Source organism: Homo sapiens, chromosome 2 (genome assembly GCF_000001405.40).
Source record: "Homo sapiens chromosome 2, GRCh38.p14 Primary Assembly".
NCBI lineage: Eukaryota > Metazoa > Chordata > Mammalia > Primates > Hominidae > Homo > Homo sapiens.
The window spans coordinates 127063153-127078396 of record NC_000002.12 but is presented as its reverse complement, the minus strand read 5'-3'; the positions used below and the strand labels follow the sequence as shown (position 1 = coordinate 127078396).

The 15244-nt window shown below is 60.2% G+C and overlaps 1 protein-coding gene across 16 annotated transcripts in view, besides 7 other annotated features; it reads left to right on the top strand.

Moving 5' to 3' along the window:
* BIN1 (bridging integrator 1) overlaps positions 1–15244 on the top strand; it is a 59132-nt gene that overhangs the window by 28758 nt on the left and 15130 nt on the right. For 10 of the 16 annotated variants that reach the window (NM_001320634.1, NM_139351.3, NM_139350.3 and 7 more), the window contains exons 2-8: positions 1691–1771; positions 7581–7635; positions 7750–7844; positions 8307–8402; positions 9366–9473; positions 14379–14464; positions 14751–14826. In NM_001320634.1, coding sequence (NP_001307563.1) covers positions 1691–1771; positions 7581–7635; positions 7750–7844; positions 8307–8402; positions 9366–9473; positions 14379–14464; positions 14751–14826 — 597 coding nt within the window. Of the gene's footprint in view, positions 1–1690; positions 1772–7580; positions 7636–7749; positions 7845–8306; positions 8403–9365; positions 9474–10141; positions 10235–14378; positions 14465–14750; positions 14827–15244 lie in introns of all 16 variants that reach the window. The other 6 variants (NM_001320642.1, NM_001320633.2, NM_139345.3 and 3 more) reach the window with 1 other exon arrangement.
* Positions 9735–10365: an enhancer, noted in NCBI's record as "H3K27ac-H3K4me1 hESC enhancer chr2:127825608-127826238 (GRCh37/hg19 assembly coordinates)". NCBI's record gives its function as "activates a minimal SCP1, AML or CMV promoter by ChIP-STARR-seq in naive H9 embryonic stem cells {active_cell/tissue: H9 hESC(naive)}" and the evidence as "EXISTENCE:reporter gene assay evidence [ECO:0000049][PMID:30033119]".
* Positions 10366–10997: an enhancer, noted in NCBI's record as "H3K4me1 hESC enhancer chr2:127824976-127825607 (GRCh37/hg19 assembly coordinates)". NCBI's record gives its function as "activates a minimal SCP1, AML or CMV promoter by ChIP-STARR-seq in naive H9 embryonic stem cells {active_cell/tissue: H9 hESC(naive)}" and the evidence as "EXISTENCE:reporter gene assay evidence [ECO:0000049][PMID:30033119]".
* Positions 12746–13945: an enhancer, noted in NCBI's record as "P300/CBP strongly-dependent group 1 enhancer chr2:127822028-127823227 (GRCh37/hg19 assembly coordinates)". NCBI's record gives its function as "activates an origin of replication core promoter dependent on BRD2, BRD4, P300/CBP, MED14 and CDK7 cofactors, with strong dependence on P300/CBP, by STARR-seq in HCT116 cells {active_cell/tissue: HCT116}" and the evidence as "EXISTENCE:reporter gene assay evidence [ECO:0000049][PMID:35650434]".
* Positions 12746–14299: a biological region, named in NCBI's record as "P300/CBP strongly-dependent group 1 enhancer GRCh37_chr2:127822028-127823227".
* Positions 13143–13611: a silencer, noted in NCBI's record as "fragment chr2:127822362-127822830 (GRCh37/hg19 assembly coordinates)". NCBI's record gives its function as "represses an EF-1alpha promoter that drives an FKBP-Casp9 reporter gene in an ReSE screen in K562 erythroleukemia cells {active_cell/tissue: K562}" and the evidence as "EXISTENCE:reporter gene assay evidence [ECO:0000049][PMID:32094911]".
* Positions 13330–13624: an enhancer, noted in NCBI's record as "tiled region #572; HepG2 Activating DNase unmatched - State 4:PromP, and K562 Activating DNase unmatched - State 5:Enh". NCBI's record gives its function as "activates a minimal TATA promoter and a strong SV40 promoter by Sharpr-MPRA in HepG2 and K562 cells {active_cell/tissue: HepG2 | K562}" and the evidence as "EXISTENCE:reporter gene assay evidence [ECO:0000049][PMID:27701403]".
* Positions 13474–14299: an enhancer, noted in NCBI's record as "H3K27ac-H3K4me1 hESC enhancer chr2:127821674-127822499 (GRCh37/hg19 assembly coordinates)". NCBI's record gives its function as "activates a minimal SCP1, AML or CMV promoter by ChIP-STARR-seq in primed H9 embryonic stem cells {active_cell/tissue: H9 hESC(primed)}" and the evidence as "EXISTENCE:reporter gene assay evidence [ECO:0000049][PMID:30033119]".

Here is a 15244-nt window from a genome sequence, read left to right as displayed (position 1 = left end):
GAAGTCTCACTGACTGCCCAGGCTAGAAGAGATCTCTACCCCCAGGGTCCCACAGCCTTAAGTGTTCCCCCATGTCAGGACAGAGACCCACATCTGATTCCTCTCTGCTGTACCGGCCAAGGTGCCCAAGGCCAGGCACAGAGCAAGTGCTTGGTGAGAGATGGCCAAGAGCAGCTGGCCTTGCCAAGGCTTCTGGGCCTGGCTGGGGGGGGAAGTGCAGCAGGGCAGCACAGGACCTGCAAGGGCCGGCAGGGTGGGAAGGGTCCTGGCTGTGTCCTGGTACCAGGCATCCGTTGGTCCAGGACCGTGGCCTGGGCCCTGGGCCCCAAAGCTGATGTTCCTGGCAGCATGGGCTGGCTCCGGGTCTTGGAAGGGAGGGATGTCTGCAGACCTACTGGCCTCAGCAGATGCTGGGCTGGCCCTTTGCTCCTGGGGCTCCCCACCGCTCCTGGGCCCACCTTTTTCTCCCTTTGCTTTCCACTCCCATCCCCTACCCCCGTTTCCTTCTCATTCTTGTGAGGTCTTGCCCACTGCCTGGGAGAGGCCTCTGCTGAGACATCAGTGTTGGCCTTTCTGCCGCCCTGATGGAGGTGCCTCTTTGGCTGCAGACGGGTGTGTCCCGCCGCCACCCTGGTCTTCCCCTCTGCTCTCCTGCAAACCCATCTGGCACTCCTCATCCCTTTTCTGTGCCCCAGCTCTTTGTCTTTTTCTTCTCCTGCTCTTTCCTACCGTGCCCCACCACCGCTCCTTGCCTCTGTATTTTGTCTCCCTGCTCCCACCTCTCTCTCCGTCATGTGGAGCTCTGGGATTGGAGGAGCAGGGCCCAGAGAGGGAAGTCTGGGAGAGCGTGATGGTCAGCATATGTTCTCAGGGTCCTGGCCAGCGCCCTCCTTTCCTAGAGCTTTCCCCTCTCCTGGTGTGGCTCCTCTTCTCTGCCCTTGCCCACCCATCCTTCATCTCCCCCTGCCACTCATCGTGGGGGGTTGAGGGGGAGTCCACCTCTGAGACTCATGGTTGGGAGCAGAGCTGTGAGCTCATGTGTGTGCCCTTGTGTGTTTTGTGTGTGTGTGTGTGTGTGTGGGCTGTGCAGAGCAGAGTGCCTGGGGCAGGTCACATCTAAAAACCCAGTCAGATCAGAAGCAGACTCTGCGTGGCCCCCGGCAGCTCCTGGCCACCGCTCGCTGCCCTCCTTGTTCCGGGATGGCTCCTGCCGGTTCAGGGCCTGCTCTGCTGTTGCCTGTGGCATTCATGGGCCTGGGCCCAGGGAATAGAGTCATGCGGAGAAGTGAGGCTGCTCCTGCTTGGCCCCTCCCCTGCGTGGCTCACTTTTCAGCTTCCAGGGTGGGGGCGGAGCACCCAGGGGTGCAGTGTGAGATCAGCTAGGAGGGTGCCCGATCCTTCTTGCCATCTTTGAAGCCTCCCTCCTCCTGGCTGTGGTCACTACGTCAAGCCTGTCCTAAGCTCCATTTTTGGCCTATTGTCGAGCCCTGGGTAGAGGGTGGGGAGGCCTGAAAACCTGATGGACCCAGCCATGCCCTGGGATTGCAGCCCTGGGTGGGCACCCTGGGCTGGGTGATGTTGGCTAGAGACTTCCCAGCCCCTGGTCTGTGCTGTTGGTGACTGAGCACTCTTGGTTTGACCACTCTCCTTTCCAAGGTAACACTCTCCCCTTCTCTCTTGGCTTCGGCAGGTTCTCCAGAAGCTGGGGAAGGCAGATGAGACCAAGGATGAGCAGTTTGAGCAGTGCGTCCAGAATTTCAACAAGCAGCTGGTGAGTGTGGGTGGCCCTTGGCCTTAGGGAGTTTGTGAAAATTCGGCTGCCAGGTGAAAAATGGCACGAGCTGAATTTGTGGAGTACGAGAGCTTGGAGGAGGGTAATCAGTGTGGGCTGACAAGATCATGTAAGACTTCCTAGAGGAGGGAGCACTGGCAATGCATGCTGGGAAGGAAGAGGGATGGGGTATGTATGCTTTAGGTTCTTGGTAGGAGACATAGAAACGGTAGTTGGGGGAGGGGGAGGGGGAGGGTGGGATAGGAGCAGGCAATAGATTGTGGCCAGACTTGGGGAAACTTTGCATGTCAGGGGCAAGTGGGAGCTATAGAAGCTTCTTGCCAGGAGAGTGGCATCTGCAGCGGTTAGCATGGGGGCGGAGCAGGCTGGGTTTGATTTGGGCATCTGCTGAGCATGGTGTGTGCCTGGCTGTGTGGCAGGCTCAAGGCTGGGCTGTGGGGAGGCATCCGCAGCCATCTCCAATTGGCCTGGGAGCATTTGAGAGAGGGCTGAGGGCAGCTGGGAGGGCTGGGGAGCAGCTGGGAGGGCCTGGGAGTAGCTGGGAGAGGACTGGGAGCAGCTGCGAGGGCCGGGAGTAGCTGGGAGAGGGCCGGGAGCATTTGGGAGAGGGCTGGGGAGCAGCTGGGAGAGCTGGGAGCATTCTGGGACAGGACCAGGAGCAACTGGGAGGGCTGGGAGCATTCTGGGAGAGGGCGGTTGGGGGCAGCTGGGAGGGCTGGGAGCATTCTGGGAGAGGGCCAGGGAACAACTGGGAGCATTCTGGGAGAGGGCCGGGGAGCATTCTGGGAGAGGGCGGTGGGGGGGGCAGCTGGGAGGGCCGGGAGCATTCTGGGAGAGGGTGGTGGGGGGCAGCTGGGAGGGCTGGGAGCATTCTGGGAGAGGGCCGGGGAGCATTCTGGGAGAGGGCTGGGAGCAGCTGGGAGGGCTGGGAGCATTCTGGGAGAGGGCTGGGAGCAGAGGGGAGAGGCCCCAGGGCCAAGTTGGCCTTGGCTTGCCAGAGGGGCTCAGCCTGACAGGCTTCCCTGGACAGGGATTGGGGAGCCCCCTTAGCTGATTGTCCTTTAGGCCAGTTATGGGAGGAGTTTCAAGGCCCAGGTAGACCCTGTGGCAGGGATATCTACTGCCTCTGTGGCTCTGGGCAATTCCTTCCCAGAGCTTCTTGGGCCTCAGTTTCCTCACCTGCAGAATAGAGGCTTGAACAAGAAACCTGGTCTTAGGTTCTGATTCCATCTCTGGGAAGCCCCAGGGCATGTCCCTACTCAGCTGGCTTCATCAGGCTGTGGGTTGCTCTGAAGGACCTTTAGGGAGTTGCTGTGGCCATGGGCCAGAGCTGCTGTGTTTGACAGAGATCTATGCAATCCTTGAGATGGGGCTGATATTCTCATTTTGCAGATGAGGCACTTGAGGCTCAGAGAAGTTAAGCACATCTTCCAAGGCTATGTAGCTGGTGTGGGTGTTGGGGATTGAAATCCAGGCTCTGTGGCCTTTGGTTCACTATCGAGTTTCCTCTCTGGAGCTGATCCCTTGTCCTGAGGGCAGCTGGCTAGGCTGGGGAGACAGGTTAGGGGTGGAGGTGGTGGGGGCCCCTTAGAACAGGCTGAGCTGGCCGGGCACTGTAGCTCACGCCTGTAATCCCAGCACTTTGGGGGGCCAAGGCAGGCAGATCATGAGGTCAGGAGTTTGAGACCAGCCTGGCCAATATGGTGAAACCCCGCCTCTACTAAAAATACAAAAATTAGCCAGGCGTGGTGGTGTGTGCCTGTAGTCCTAGCTACTCGGGAGGCTGGGGCAGAAGAATCTCTTGAACCTGGGAGGCAGAGGTTGCGGTGGGCCGAGATCATGCCACTGGACTCCAGCCTGGGCTACAGAGCAAGACTCCGGTCTCAAAACAAACAAACAAACAAAAAACAGGCTGAGCTTTGGCAGAGTGAGGGAAGCACAGTTGGGAGCTGAGACTCTGTGTGGCCTGGCCCCAGGGCTGAAACCACAGTGTTGCTGTCTCCACTGTCCCTCAGAGTCATCCTCTCTGGGTCTCTGACTCTGGGCAAACAGTCACTCACTGCTCCTTGGACAGAGGGGTTGGGCAGAGAGTCCAGGGCTAAAGATAGCCAGTGCTGCGGGCTGCCAGGTGGCTGCTGGGCTGTGGGTGTGGAGCAGTCCTGAGCTGGGCCTCTGTCTGCCCCCGGGCTCAGGTTTGGTGGGGTGGCTGGCTTTTCAGGGGCCAGGGCTGGTAGTTGGGGTGGTGGTTTTAAGGTCTTGTTCAAGGCTGGGGCTAAGGCAGCCAGTTCTGGATTTGATTGGTGTGTGGGGATGGCAGGGTGTGGGGACCAGGAAGGAATGGGGTGAAGGTCACTGTTGTTGGGGGAGTGAATTCAGGAGGCTGCAGTGGGCTTGGGGGCCCTGGGAAAGGAGAGAGAGAATGGGGCGTGGGAAGCCTGGAGGTGGAGCTTTTTCTTGCCTCTGATTCTGTGAGCCCCAAGCCTAGTGGGCCCAGCACTACAAGGGACAAGGATGGCAGGTGATTTAGTCTTTAAAGAAGTGAACCTCCCACCCCTTCTTATGGGGTGGGGGGCCCTAGGAGAGGGTGTAGATCAGCCTGCTGTCACCTGCTCTCCAAGGACCCAGGTGCACAGCCCCTCCTGGGCCCACCTGGCGCTGGTCACAGTAGCATCGCTGCCTTCTGCCCCTGCTCTGAGAGCCCATGGGGGCCTGCTTGCCCCTCCCCCAGAGTACTGCACACCTGGCACAGGCCCTTCTGGAAGCCATCCTGGGTCTCCAGGGCATCCCAGCTCTTCTTCCTAGGGTCCGTCTGTAGCTTTCCAGGCTGCAGGGCTGTCATTGCTGTTTGTCTGTCACTGAGGTGGGGCAAGTCTGATTCCTTCTTGTCCCCATGGCCCACCCAAGGTTTTGCTCAAAATGGGCATCCCTGACTATTGAGTGAAGGTCGCCCCCCGAATTGATGGCTGAGGGGTGCCAGAGGGGGTCCACGTAGGAGGGCCGTCCCTGCCCCCTAGACCCACTGGGAGCACAGGGACTTGGGTGCTCAGGCCACCTGTGGGGACTGATGTCCAGGGAGGTGCAGCGAGGGCTTGGGGATGCTGGCTGAGCCCAGCCGCGCTGGAGCTGCTCCAGGACCTTCCTGACTCCCCCAAGTCCTGTAGCTGGGACACAGGCTGAGGTGGGCAGTGGCTCCCGAATCTTATCTTCCCCCAGCTGGGCTCTGTGAACTCTGGGACCTCCAGAGAATTCTTTCTCAGATCCCTGTTTAGGGGCTGAGGGAGCCACTTGGAAGCAAACACACACTGCTCTGTACTGGCCTGGACGCTGCCCTGCGGAGGGTAGCTGGCTGGGGCCTCCGTCGGGGGAGGGCTGTGTCTACCCTGGGGACTGATGAGGAGCTTAGGAAGCCAGCTGCAGTGGGCACAGGGAGGCAGTGCTCTGGCCGGCCCCTTGCACATCTGCGTGCCACGTGCCGGCGCACAGCCCAGCGTTGTTTGGGAAACACAAGGAGCCCTGGTACGGCCTGAAGCCCGGGGGAGCACAACGACCCACCCCATGGGGACCCCTGCTGTGGGGGGGAGGTGGGGACGGCGTGAGAGGTGTGGCTGGGATGGTGGAGGCCTGGCAGGGAGAGAAGCTGGATCTGGAAGATTCTGTGACATCAGAGGACACGATAGCATCCCATCATGAACACACTTTAATCCTCGTCTCGACCAACAAAGCCTTTAATTGTGAAGACTTAGGGTGGCTGTGTCAGGAGTGAGGTGGACCCTTCCTCATTCCCCGGCCCCGCGGGGTCTCCATCCGACCCCCTGATGGAATTCCAGGGAGGTCTCAGTGTCCGTGGAGCAGTCTTCTGTTTCTTCACTCAGTCTCACATCGGTGGGCCTTGGACTTGGATGTTTGTAAAGATGATGATTAGCCAGTGTTATACACCCTACTCTATGGGGGATTAAAGGAATTTTAGAGATTTTTTTTTTTTTCACACATGCTCTCTTTAAATTATACATCTTATGTGCTGCTCTGAAGCTCCCCCTGTGGATGTCTCTACTGTCACACGGAAGCATTCATCATAATAGGCAGATCTGTGGGTTCTCAGGGCCGCATCACTACCCATTACCCACAAAACACCCTGCGGGCTGCGTGCCCAGGCTTGGAGGGTCTCATGGGCTCTCCGAGTCTCTGTGTGACTGGGCCGGTCGCTGACCCTCTGTCCGCTTCTTTGCTGTCAGGTGGGACAGTGGTGTTGAGAAGACTGCCTGGAAGGTGCTGGCCCCTAGGGCACCAGGGCAGGAAGAGCAGCCCCGGCTAAGGACAGGGAGAGGCCTGTAGTGGGGAGACAGAAGAGGGTTTCAGGGTGCTGGGGGTGAGCCTGTGGATGTGGCCGGGTCCCTGCTGGCCTTCACCTGGAGGTGGACCTGAATGGATGGGGCCCACCTTCCGGCTCTTGCGCAAGCATGAAGCTGGCCAGACTGGAGCGCTGCAGGCATGCTGGGTCTCCTGGGACCATGGCCAGCTGCCCCTCCTTCAGGGCAGGAGGCGACTGGAACATGGGTGTCCCTGAGGCTTGGGCTGGCAGCAGGCAGGGGAGGCCAGGAGGGTGCCCTTCTACTACGAAGGTCAGCCTCAGCCACTGCCGCTCTCCCGAGTCCCCTCTCTGCCTTGTGTTCCTGTCCTTAGCATGAAGGCCATCTCCTGAGGCCTGCCTTCAAGCTCCAGGGCCTGGCCTAGCTCACTGGATCTGAGGAGTGCCAGGCAGGGATTATTCGCCTTCCACTGAAAGACGAGGAGACTGAGGTTCAGAGAGGCTCACTAGCTTACTTAGGGCTGTGTGGCTAGTAAGGGACACAGCTGGGTCTGCATGGCCTCAAAGCCCGTGTGCAGCCCACTCTTTGCACGTGGCTTCTGGAAACTTCTGCAGCTCACTGAGCATGGTCTCAGACCTCAGTGCTGGCCTCACCTATTGTTCACCCCTCCTGGAACCTGGAGTTCTCCACTCAGCTTTCCTGGCTCTGGTTTTGATGTCCCAGAGGGACTTGAGGCCTGGCCCATGCTTCTACTGTCTCTGCTGGTCCTGCTGTCTCAGGAAGCCCCTGGAGGACACTCTCCCTGCTCAGGGAGCTTCACCACCCAGCCCACTGTCCCCTCAGCCTTTTCCCTCTACATCCTATGTCCCTGCTGTCAGCTGGGCCAGTGATCCTGGCCATGACCACCGCATTCTGCACCCCTGCTGTAGTGCCGTCTCTTCCGCAGGTCTTCTGTCCCTATACAGGCTCGCACCGGGCCCTCTTTTCCTAGTACGAGGCAGTGGGAGCTCTCTGTCCTTGGGCACCACCTGAGCTTGTGGAGCAGGGGGCCTGGTGGTCACCACACCTGCCTTGCCCATACTCCTGTGCTCATTGGTCACTTGTCTGCAGGTGTCTGAGGGCAGGTCTGTGAGTGCCGGGGCTGCTGCACACTGGTGCTGTGCTGTTTGTGTGTCATTCAGCCGTACCTCCAGCACGTCATCTCGGAGGGGGGTCTTTGTCTTCCTGCCTTCCTTCCTGGGCTGAGAATGGCATCTGGAAGATGGCAGGTGCCCACAAGCATGGGCAAGGGTGCCTATGGACGCAGGGCTTCTGAGGCAGGGGTGGTGACCGTAGCTGCTGTCCTGTTGGGAGGTCAGCTGATCAGTGGCTGCTGTCAGGAGAGCAGCCTGGTTCATTCACGTGAGGGTGGCAGGAAGGAGAGGGTCAGGGACTGGGTGTGCCACCAGTCCCTGACCTGGTCCTTGTCCTTCTCTTTGCAGACGGAGGGCACCCGGCTGCAGAAGGATCTCCGGACCTACCTGGCCTCCGTCAAAGGTAGGAGGCAGGCAGAGCGCACCTGGCCCGTGTAGAGCTGGTGGGTGCAGAGCTGGGGAGGGTGGGACAAGCGCTATCAGTGGGAGGCCCACATACTTCCTTTCTGCCCCACAGCCATGCACGAGGCTTCCAAGAAGCTGAATGAGTGTCTGCAGGAGGTGTATGAGCCCGATTGGCCCGGCAGGGATGAGGCAAACAAGATCGCAGAGGTGAGCATGGGACAGGTGGGCCTGCCCTTCTCAGAGGGCCCTCTGGTCTCAGCTCCTGTCCCACTCTGCCGTGCCCTCTGGGACAAGCCTCTCTGGTTCTCGGGCATTCGCGTGCTGTGTGCCCTGGGGCAAGCTGCCCTCCCTCTCTGAGGGCCTTTCTCCTGACACGCCCTCACACCAAGGTGGGTCAGATGGTGGGTCGTGGTCGTCCTTATTTGTGTGTTATGGCTCACAACTCACAAAGCCTCCCTGGCTGACCCCAGTCCTCAGCGTATCTGATCCTCACAGTCACCCCAATAGGGCAGGAACATTTGCCCCCATCTTACAGATGGGGAAACTGAGGCTCTGAGAAGCCACTGAGCTGTGAAGAGATGGGGCTGGGGCTGGTCCCTGCGAGGTGAGCGCTGGGGCGGGTGTGGCCCAGCCCTCCTGGTGGCACTGTCGTGCTCTTGCCTGTCTCAGAACAACGACCTGCTGTGGATGGATTACCACCAGAAGCTGGTGGACCAGGCGCTGCTGACCATGGACACGTACCTGGGCCAGTTCCCCGACATCAAGGTGAGAGACCCACTTGCAGATCTGCCCTGCTCTGGCCTGGAGGGAACTGGAGAGAGGACAGGGCCTAGGACGTGCGGCTCAGGCCAGGAGGAGGCTGTCCTGGAGGCAGGAAGCGCCTGGCCCGGTGTTTCACCCCTCCGGGGTTGCTCCCTCTGCCACCAGCCCACGGCCCCCCATTCCTTTCCTGTCCCTTTGGGTCTCAGGGCTATGGGAGGAAGCCTCACGGCACGTGTGTGTGTGTGTGTGTGTGTGTGTGTGTGTGTTGCTGCGGAGTGGCTGGCTATATGATTGTGGAAGGTGTAGAAGGGTGAGTAGGGCCTACACATGTGTGTGCCTGCAGGTCCCCTGTGTTTACACCATGGGTGCTTGGAAGGGTATGTGTGCATGTCACCTGTTGTCTGGGTCTACATGTGTGGGTGTGTGCGTGTGGTTGTGTGCATTCGCAAAGCCTGCTGTCTCTGCCAGGCCTGGGTTGGTGCTCGGAGCTGGCAGTGTCTCTGGTATCCACCGAGGCGAGTGGTCCCCGGTAACGTGCACATGGAAGCCTGGGTTGACCATTGGGTTGGACGAGATCCCCTTGGTGGGCAGGATGGGGGTGTCATGCTCATGCTAGCCTCAGGGGTCCCCAGTGCAGATGCCTCAAGCTCCCTGAGTCTGATGTTGGTGGCTGTGGAGATGAGAAGCCAGGGGCCAGGCCAAGGAAAAGACTTGGCTGACACGTCACCAGCTGGTGGACACGGACACATGGGCTCATGTGCAAGGAAGTGGTTTCACACAGTGGGGCTGGACGGCCAGGAGGGGGTGAGCTCTCTGCCACGAGGAGGGTTCCAGCAACAAGGGCTCAAGGGTTCCTGTGGAGCTGGGGTCTCCTGCCCGCCCTGCGGGTCCCTCCAGGATCCACTGGACCTGGAGTCTCAGCAGGGGTGCCAGGCCCCGCTTAGTGCCCTCCTCTGTCTGCCCCAGTCACGCATTGCCAAGCGGGGGCGCAAGCTGGTGGACTACGACAGTGCCCGGCACCACTACGAGTCCCTTCAAACTGCCAAAAAGAAGGATGAAGCCAAAATTGCCAAGGTAAGGGCTGGAGGCGGGTCGGGGCAGCGTCTGCAGGGGGCTGAGAGAGGGCGGGTGTCTAGGACCCCGAGGGTGGAGGCTTCCTCCTGCCTGGCCCCAGGTGGCTGAACTGGGGGTGGGGACGATACAGGGCCCAGGCCGGTGAGTGAGAGGCCCTTGTGGGTGCCTGGGTGAGGTCCACCCTAGGCCCATTCCTGCCCCCCGTGCCACCCTGGCCCCTCAGCCCTGATCCAGGCCACCTGCCAGCCTGAGAATGGGCCTCCTGGGTTTCCCTGGAACGGCGCCGCCCTGCCTGGCGAGCCGGGTGGAATTCGTCACGCGATCCCAGGCGACCTGTCCCTGGCTGGAGCGAGCCAGTAGGTGCAGAGCTGGCCCCACTCATCCTTTGGTGAGGGGCTGGGGTGGCCCCGTCCTCCGGGCAGGGCCGTGCTTGCTGGGCCCCCTGTGCTGCTAACCACGCTCACCTTTTGCCTCTGCAGTTGGAGTTCACCCCCTTTCCTTACCCCCCGGGCTCCCCCTAATTCTCTCGGCCTCAAGGGCCCATATCTGCTTGGGGTGGCCCCCGCGCGTGGGGCGTGTGGACCTGCATTTAATCTGTGTGTCTCTGTTTCTCTCTCCCCACCTCCCTGGTCTCTCCACCTTCCTTTGCCTTGACCTCCCCACCCCAGCCTGTCTCGCTGCTTGAGAAAGCCGCCCCCCAGTGGTGCCAAGGCAAACTGCAGGCTCATCTCGTAGCTCAAACTAACCTGCTCCGAAATCAGGTGACACTGGCTTCTAACCTTGCACGTGCTGGCGCCTTCCGGTCTGTCGTCCTGTCCTCTCGCCCTGCGGTGGAATGCAGGGCTGGCATCTGAGCCCAGCTGGGGCAGGGTTTTTCAAAGGCCTCTGCTGGGAGAGCTCTGCTTCAGAGGAGACCTGAAGTCAAATGTAGGGGTCAAAGAACCGGCTGAGGGGCTCTGTGTGACCTGGGTGGGGGCATAGCTATGCCCGCTCCGTGGCTGCATCTGTGGTCATTCCTGGAGACTCCTCTGAAATCCTAGTGGTCCAGGAATGCCTTTGAGCCATTGTCCTCTGTGAGGGCTCCTCTGGGGAGGGAGGCGACATCATCAGGCCCCTGTACTGCCATGCCTGTCCTTCAAGCCACATGACAACTCTGAGATCATCTTGAATTTACTGAGCAGAGAAAGCTGCCCAGAGAGGCACATCACAGCCTCCTCCCAGGGCCCCAGAGCCGGTTAGGGGCAGGGTTGGGGCTCTCCTGACTGAAGCCCCTGCGTCATTTTCCTCGGACTTGTGGTCCCCGTGGTGACTCTGGAGGAGTTACTGGGAGGACCCTCCAGTCTGGATGGGATGCTGAGACGTGGAGGGGAAGCATGGGTCCTTGGCCTTTGGGGATTCATGGAGGGCAAGTGACCAGCACCACAGTGTTCCTGGGGGGCTTCCCGGAGGAGGCTTTTTTACAAAACTCCTGGGCCATCTCACCATCCTGGCCATAGAGGCTATGGTCTTCTCAGCCCCCTGCCCTCCAAATGGGTTACAGTGTGGCCAGGGACCACTGGATGCAGTGCCCTGTGAGAGGTGGGTCATGTGGTTTTCTCGCCAATGAAACTGAGGCACATTTCAGGTCAGTGTAGTCACAGCCTGGATGTGGCCCTCACACTTCTCCATATTCCCGAGAGGCTGGCGATAGGGGCCCGGCCCCGGAGGTTGGGTTTCTCTCTGGGCAGCTGCCCCATTTTTTCGGAGCCTCCTCTTGATTTCATCATCTTCATTGAGTGCCTGTGACGTGGAGAGCTCTGGGTGGGCTTGGCATGGCTTGCTGTCCAATTTCTTTTTCTATTTTTTTTTTTTTTTTGAACGGGTTTCTCTCCGTTCCCCTGGCTGGAGTGCAGTGGTGTGATCATGACTCACTGCAGCCTTGACTTCCCCAACTCAAGCAATCCTTCTGCCTCAGCCTCCCGAGTAGCTGGGACCACAGGCACGCATTGCCGTGCCTGGCTAATCTTTACGTTTTTTGTAGAGACTGTGCCTCATTATGTTGCCCAGGCTGGTCTTGAACTCCTGGGGCTGAGCGATCCACCTGCCTCGGCCTCCCAAAGTGCTGGGATTACAGGCCTGAGCCACTGCTCCTGGCCTGGCTGTCCAGTTTCTCACCTGATCTGCTGCCTGATTTATTTTAGGCCAAGGCTGACTTTGGAGACACTGAGTGTTGACAGCCTCATCCTGAGGTCAGGGTGCCCATGGGGAACCAGGGGCTGGGGGTGATGCCTAGGGGGACTTCAGTAGGCCTGAGACTTCATCTGCCTCTGGAGGTAGAGGAGGAACCAGGGGCTGGAGTGGGTATGCCCTGCCAGTCAGTTCAGCACTTGGGCTAGAAGGGAATGGGACTACTGACGGAGGGCCCGGGTTTCTGAATAATTTTCCCTGAAACAGGTGAAACATTTTTTTGTGGATGGGAGAACCTCTTAGGAGGCTATGGGGCCTGCCCACTGCTTTTGGGCTCCTGGGACAGGTGTGGTTGGGATTATGCTGGGAGGGCCTGCCTCCACGCCCACCCTGGGGGAGCAGCGAGAGGGTGAGGCAGGTGATCACACCTTTGGGTGCTGGGCTGTGGGTGTTTCACATTTTGGCCAAACTAGCTGTCCCATTTGGGTCCCATCTTTATTTGAGCACATCCTCCTTGTCCCCAGCCCACTCATACCTGGCTGGAGGCTGGAGAGCCTTTGGAGTGGCCTGTGGGCAGCTGGCTGGCTGTGAGATGGCACAGCTGGGACTCCGGGGCTGCCCTGCTTGGGAACTTGACTTTGGGGAGATAGTGCATCCTCTCTAGGCTGCACCAGGGGGCTGGCCGGCTCCATGCAGACCCTGGGCTAGTTCTGAGCTGCTCTCCACACCTGCCTCAGCGTCCTGAATGCTGTCCTCGGGACCCCGGGCCCATGTGACTCTGCTCTTCCCCACTGTTAGCTTCAGTGGAGCTGGGGTGGGGGCACTCTCTCCTCATGGCAGACAGCCCTCACCTTACTCCCTGCCCCTTCCACATGCTTCCTAAAGAGCCAGAATATGAGGAATGTCACCCAAAGGGAATACAAGACACGGGTCCTGACTTCCAGGAACTCAAGCGGAACTGTCCCCGCTCTTGCTCTCGGCAGCGTTGCTGAGCGGTGAGAGCACGGCTGGGTGCAGATGTTCCCACAGACAAGCTGCGGTGCTGTCTTCACTGCTGTCCCCACCGTTGCCATCTGGGGAGTTGTGGGGGTGGTGGCTGCATCCTCATGGAGAGGGGGTCCTAGTGGGTACAGGAGCCGGGTGGTCCAGGCAGGTTCTTACGGAATGTGGGACTTTAGACCCACTGTTGGCAGTTGAGGGCAGGGGGTATGTGTGATGGTGCTCAGCTCACAACAGTACCCCTAGGACTCACTCATTTTATGAGTTCCATAGAACCATGGTTGGCAGCCCCCCTGCCAGGTAATGGGACACCCAGGGGAGTAGGGCAGGGATGGCCCAGCCATAGCCTGGAGACGGAGGAGGGGCAGTATTCCCCTCCTGGTGTGGGGTGCCCAGGGTCCCTGGATCCAAGAGAGGTGTGCATGTTGGAATAGACATTCTTCCCCACCCCCCGCTCCCCATTCTGCCTTTAAATTTTTATTAGATTCTGAAAAGCCAGGCAAGGAGCCCACGCCCACTCTAGCGAGTAGCTGGAGGTAACCTTTCAGAAGCCATGGTGGCCCCTCCTCCAGTCCCAACCCAAGTCACTGGGCCTAGGGGCTGACCTGGGCTAGTCCTGGTGTCTGAGGCTGGATGGGACAGCTGGCTGGGCTTGGGGCAATCGTGTGCTTTGTGGTTAAGTGGCCTTCCGGCCATCTGGCTGCCTTTGCCAGAAGGCGGCCCAGCCTGGGCCCCAGCCCCGGCCTGAGAACGTGAGGCTGCTGGCGGGAAGTTTCCCTAGGCGGGGCCTGACACTTTCCTGGGCTGTGACTCAGACCCCGAATCCCTGAGTCACTCTCGCCGGCAGTGTCCTCCCGCAGTGAGCCAGCACAGCCCCTTCCCTGGGCGGGCTGGGCACCGGGCAGGGTCTGTGACTCACCTGCTGCCCGCAGTCCCTTCCCCAGCACTCTGTGGCCGTGTGATGGGGCCTGAGCACCACTGCCTGGTGGGTGTGAGTGCCTGGAGGATGCAGGGCCTGCCCTGGGGAAGGTGTGGGCTAGGAGTGGGACCAGGCACAGCCCAGCTGCCTGGCTGCCTCCTCCCTGGCCCTGCACCCTCCTCTAGGGTCCCCCTGACATTCCTAGAGGTGCCTGAGTGGCTGCCTCTGGTCTCCCTCTGGTGGGGACAGGTCCCAGGAGAGGGCTTTGTGGGAAGGACCATCCCTGGGAGGTGAAGTGAAGGCTGGTGGCTGAGGCTGCCAGGAGCTGGCCCTCAGAAATGGGGAGGGAGCACTCAGGGGCGGGGGCAATTGGGGGCAGCGACAGATGCTGCCCTGAGAGCCAGAAGGCAGTGGCAGGGCTGGCACCTAGCCTGAGGAGGTTCATTGTGGAAGTGGGCAGGGTCCCCACTTGGCTGGGTCTGGGGTCTGCCTCTGTGCATGTCCCGTGTCCAGCTCGCCAAGCCCCAGGCTTGCCCCTCTTGTTGTGCCCTACTCCACGCTCACTGCCCTCCCGGCCACGTGGGCCTCTCTTTGGCAACGGCTGCTCAGCCCTCCCTTTCCCAGATGTCCTCAGGGTCCTGGAGGGCTGCAGGGGGAGGTCGCCAGCATGGGTGTCCACATCCAGTTCAGCCTCTGTCTTGCCCGGAGCCCTGGTCCCAGCGCACTGGCCAAGAGGGGTGGGCAGGAGGTGGGAGGACTGGCCATGGGGCTGGGCTGGCTGGGACGCCCAACAGAGGGGAATGACCCGTGCTGCCCCCCAGGCCGAGGAGGAGCTCATCAAAGCCCAGAAGGTGTTTGAGGAGATGAATGTGGATCTGCAGGAGGAGCTGCCGTCCCTGTGGAACAGGTGAGGCCCAGCACGGTGCCCAGCCTGCGTGGGGCAGTGTCCAGTCTGCGTGCTGCGGTGCCCAGTCTGCGTGCTGTGGTGCCCAGCCTGCGTGCTGCGGTGTCCAGTCTGCGTGCTGCGGTGCCCAGCCTGTGTGCTGCAGTGTCCAGCCTGAGTGCTGCGGTGCCTGGGCCCTCTCTGGTTTGTGCCTCTGATGAGCGTGTGTGGTCGCTCGTGGGTGGGTATTTCTGAGTTGCTGTCCTGACCTGCCTGTTCACCTGGCCCCCATCCTTCCGCCCTTCTGTAGCCGCGTAGGTTTCTACGTCAACACGTTCCAGAGCATCGCGGGCCTGGAGGAAAACTTCCACAAGGAGATGAGCAAGGTAGGCCATGGGGACCCCTCTGAGGGGCCACACCCCACCCTGGCCGAGGGTCAGAGTCAGAGTCGTGGGAGGGGCAGCCTGAACTCCTCCTTCCCTGCCAGGTTCAGCACACACCGGTGACCACAGGGCTCCCTCCCGGCCCTGTGGAACAGCCCCCTTCAGGAGTGCCTGGGCCCAGGAGGGCAGCAGGGCATGCTGGGGAGGCTTTGAGAGTGTCCTGGGTCCTTGCCTGGGTAGACCACCTGAGAATGTAGACCAGGCCCTCTCAAACTGTGAATGTGTTCTCTAGCAACCTTGGCCCAGGGAGTGCAGTGTTAGACAATGGTGGCAGTTTCTCAATTTGTAGGAAAAAATTACTAGCATTTTCTCAATTTTAATTTTTCTCCCATGCTTTTGAGACATTTAAATAGGCCTGTTT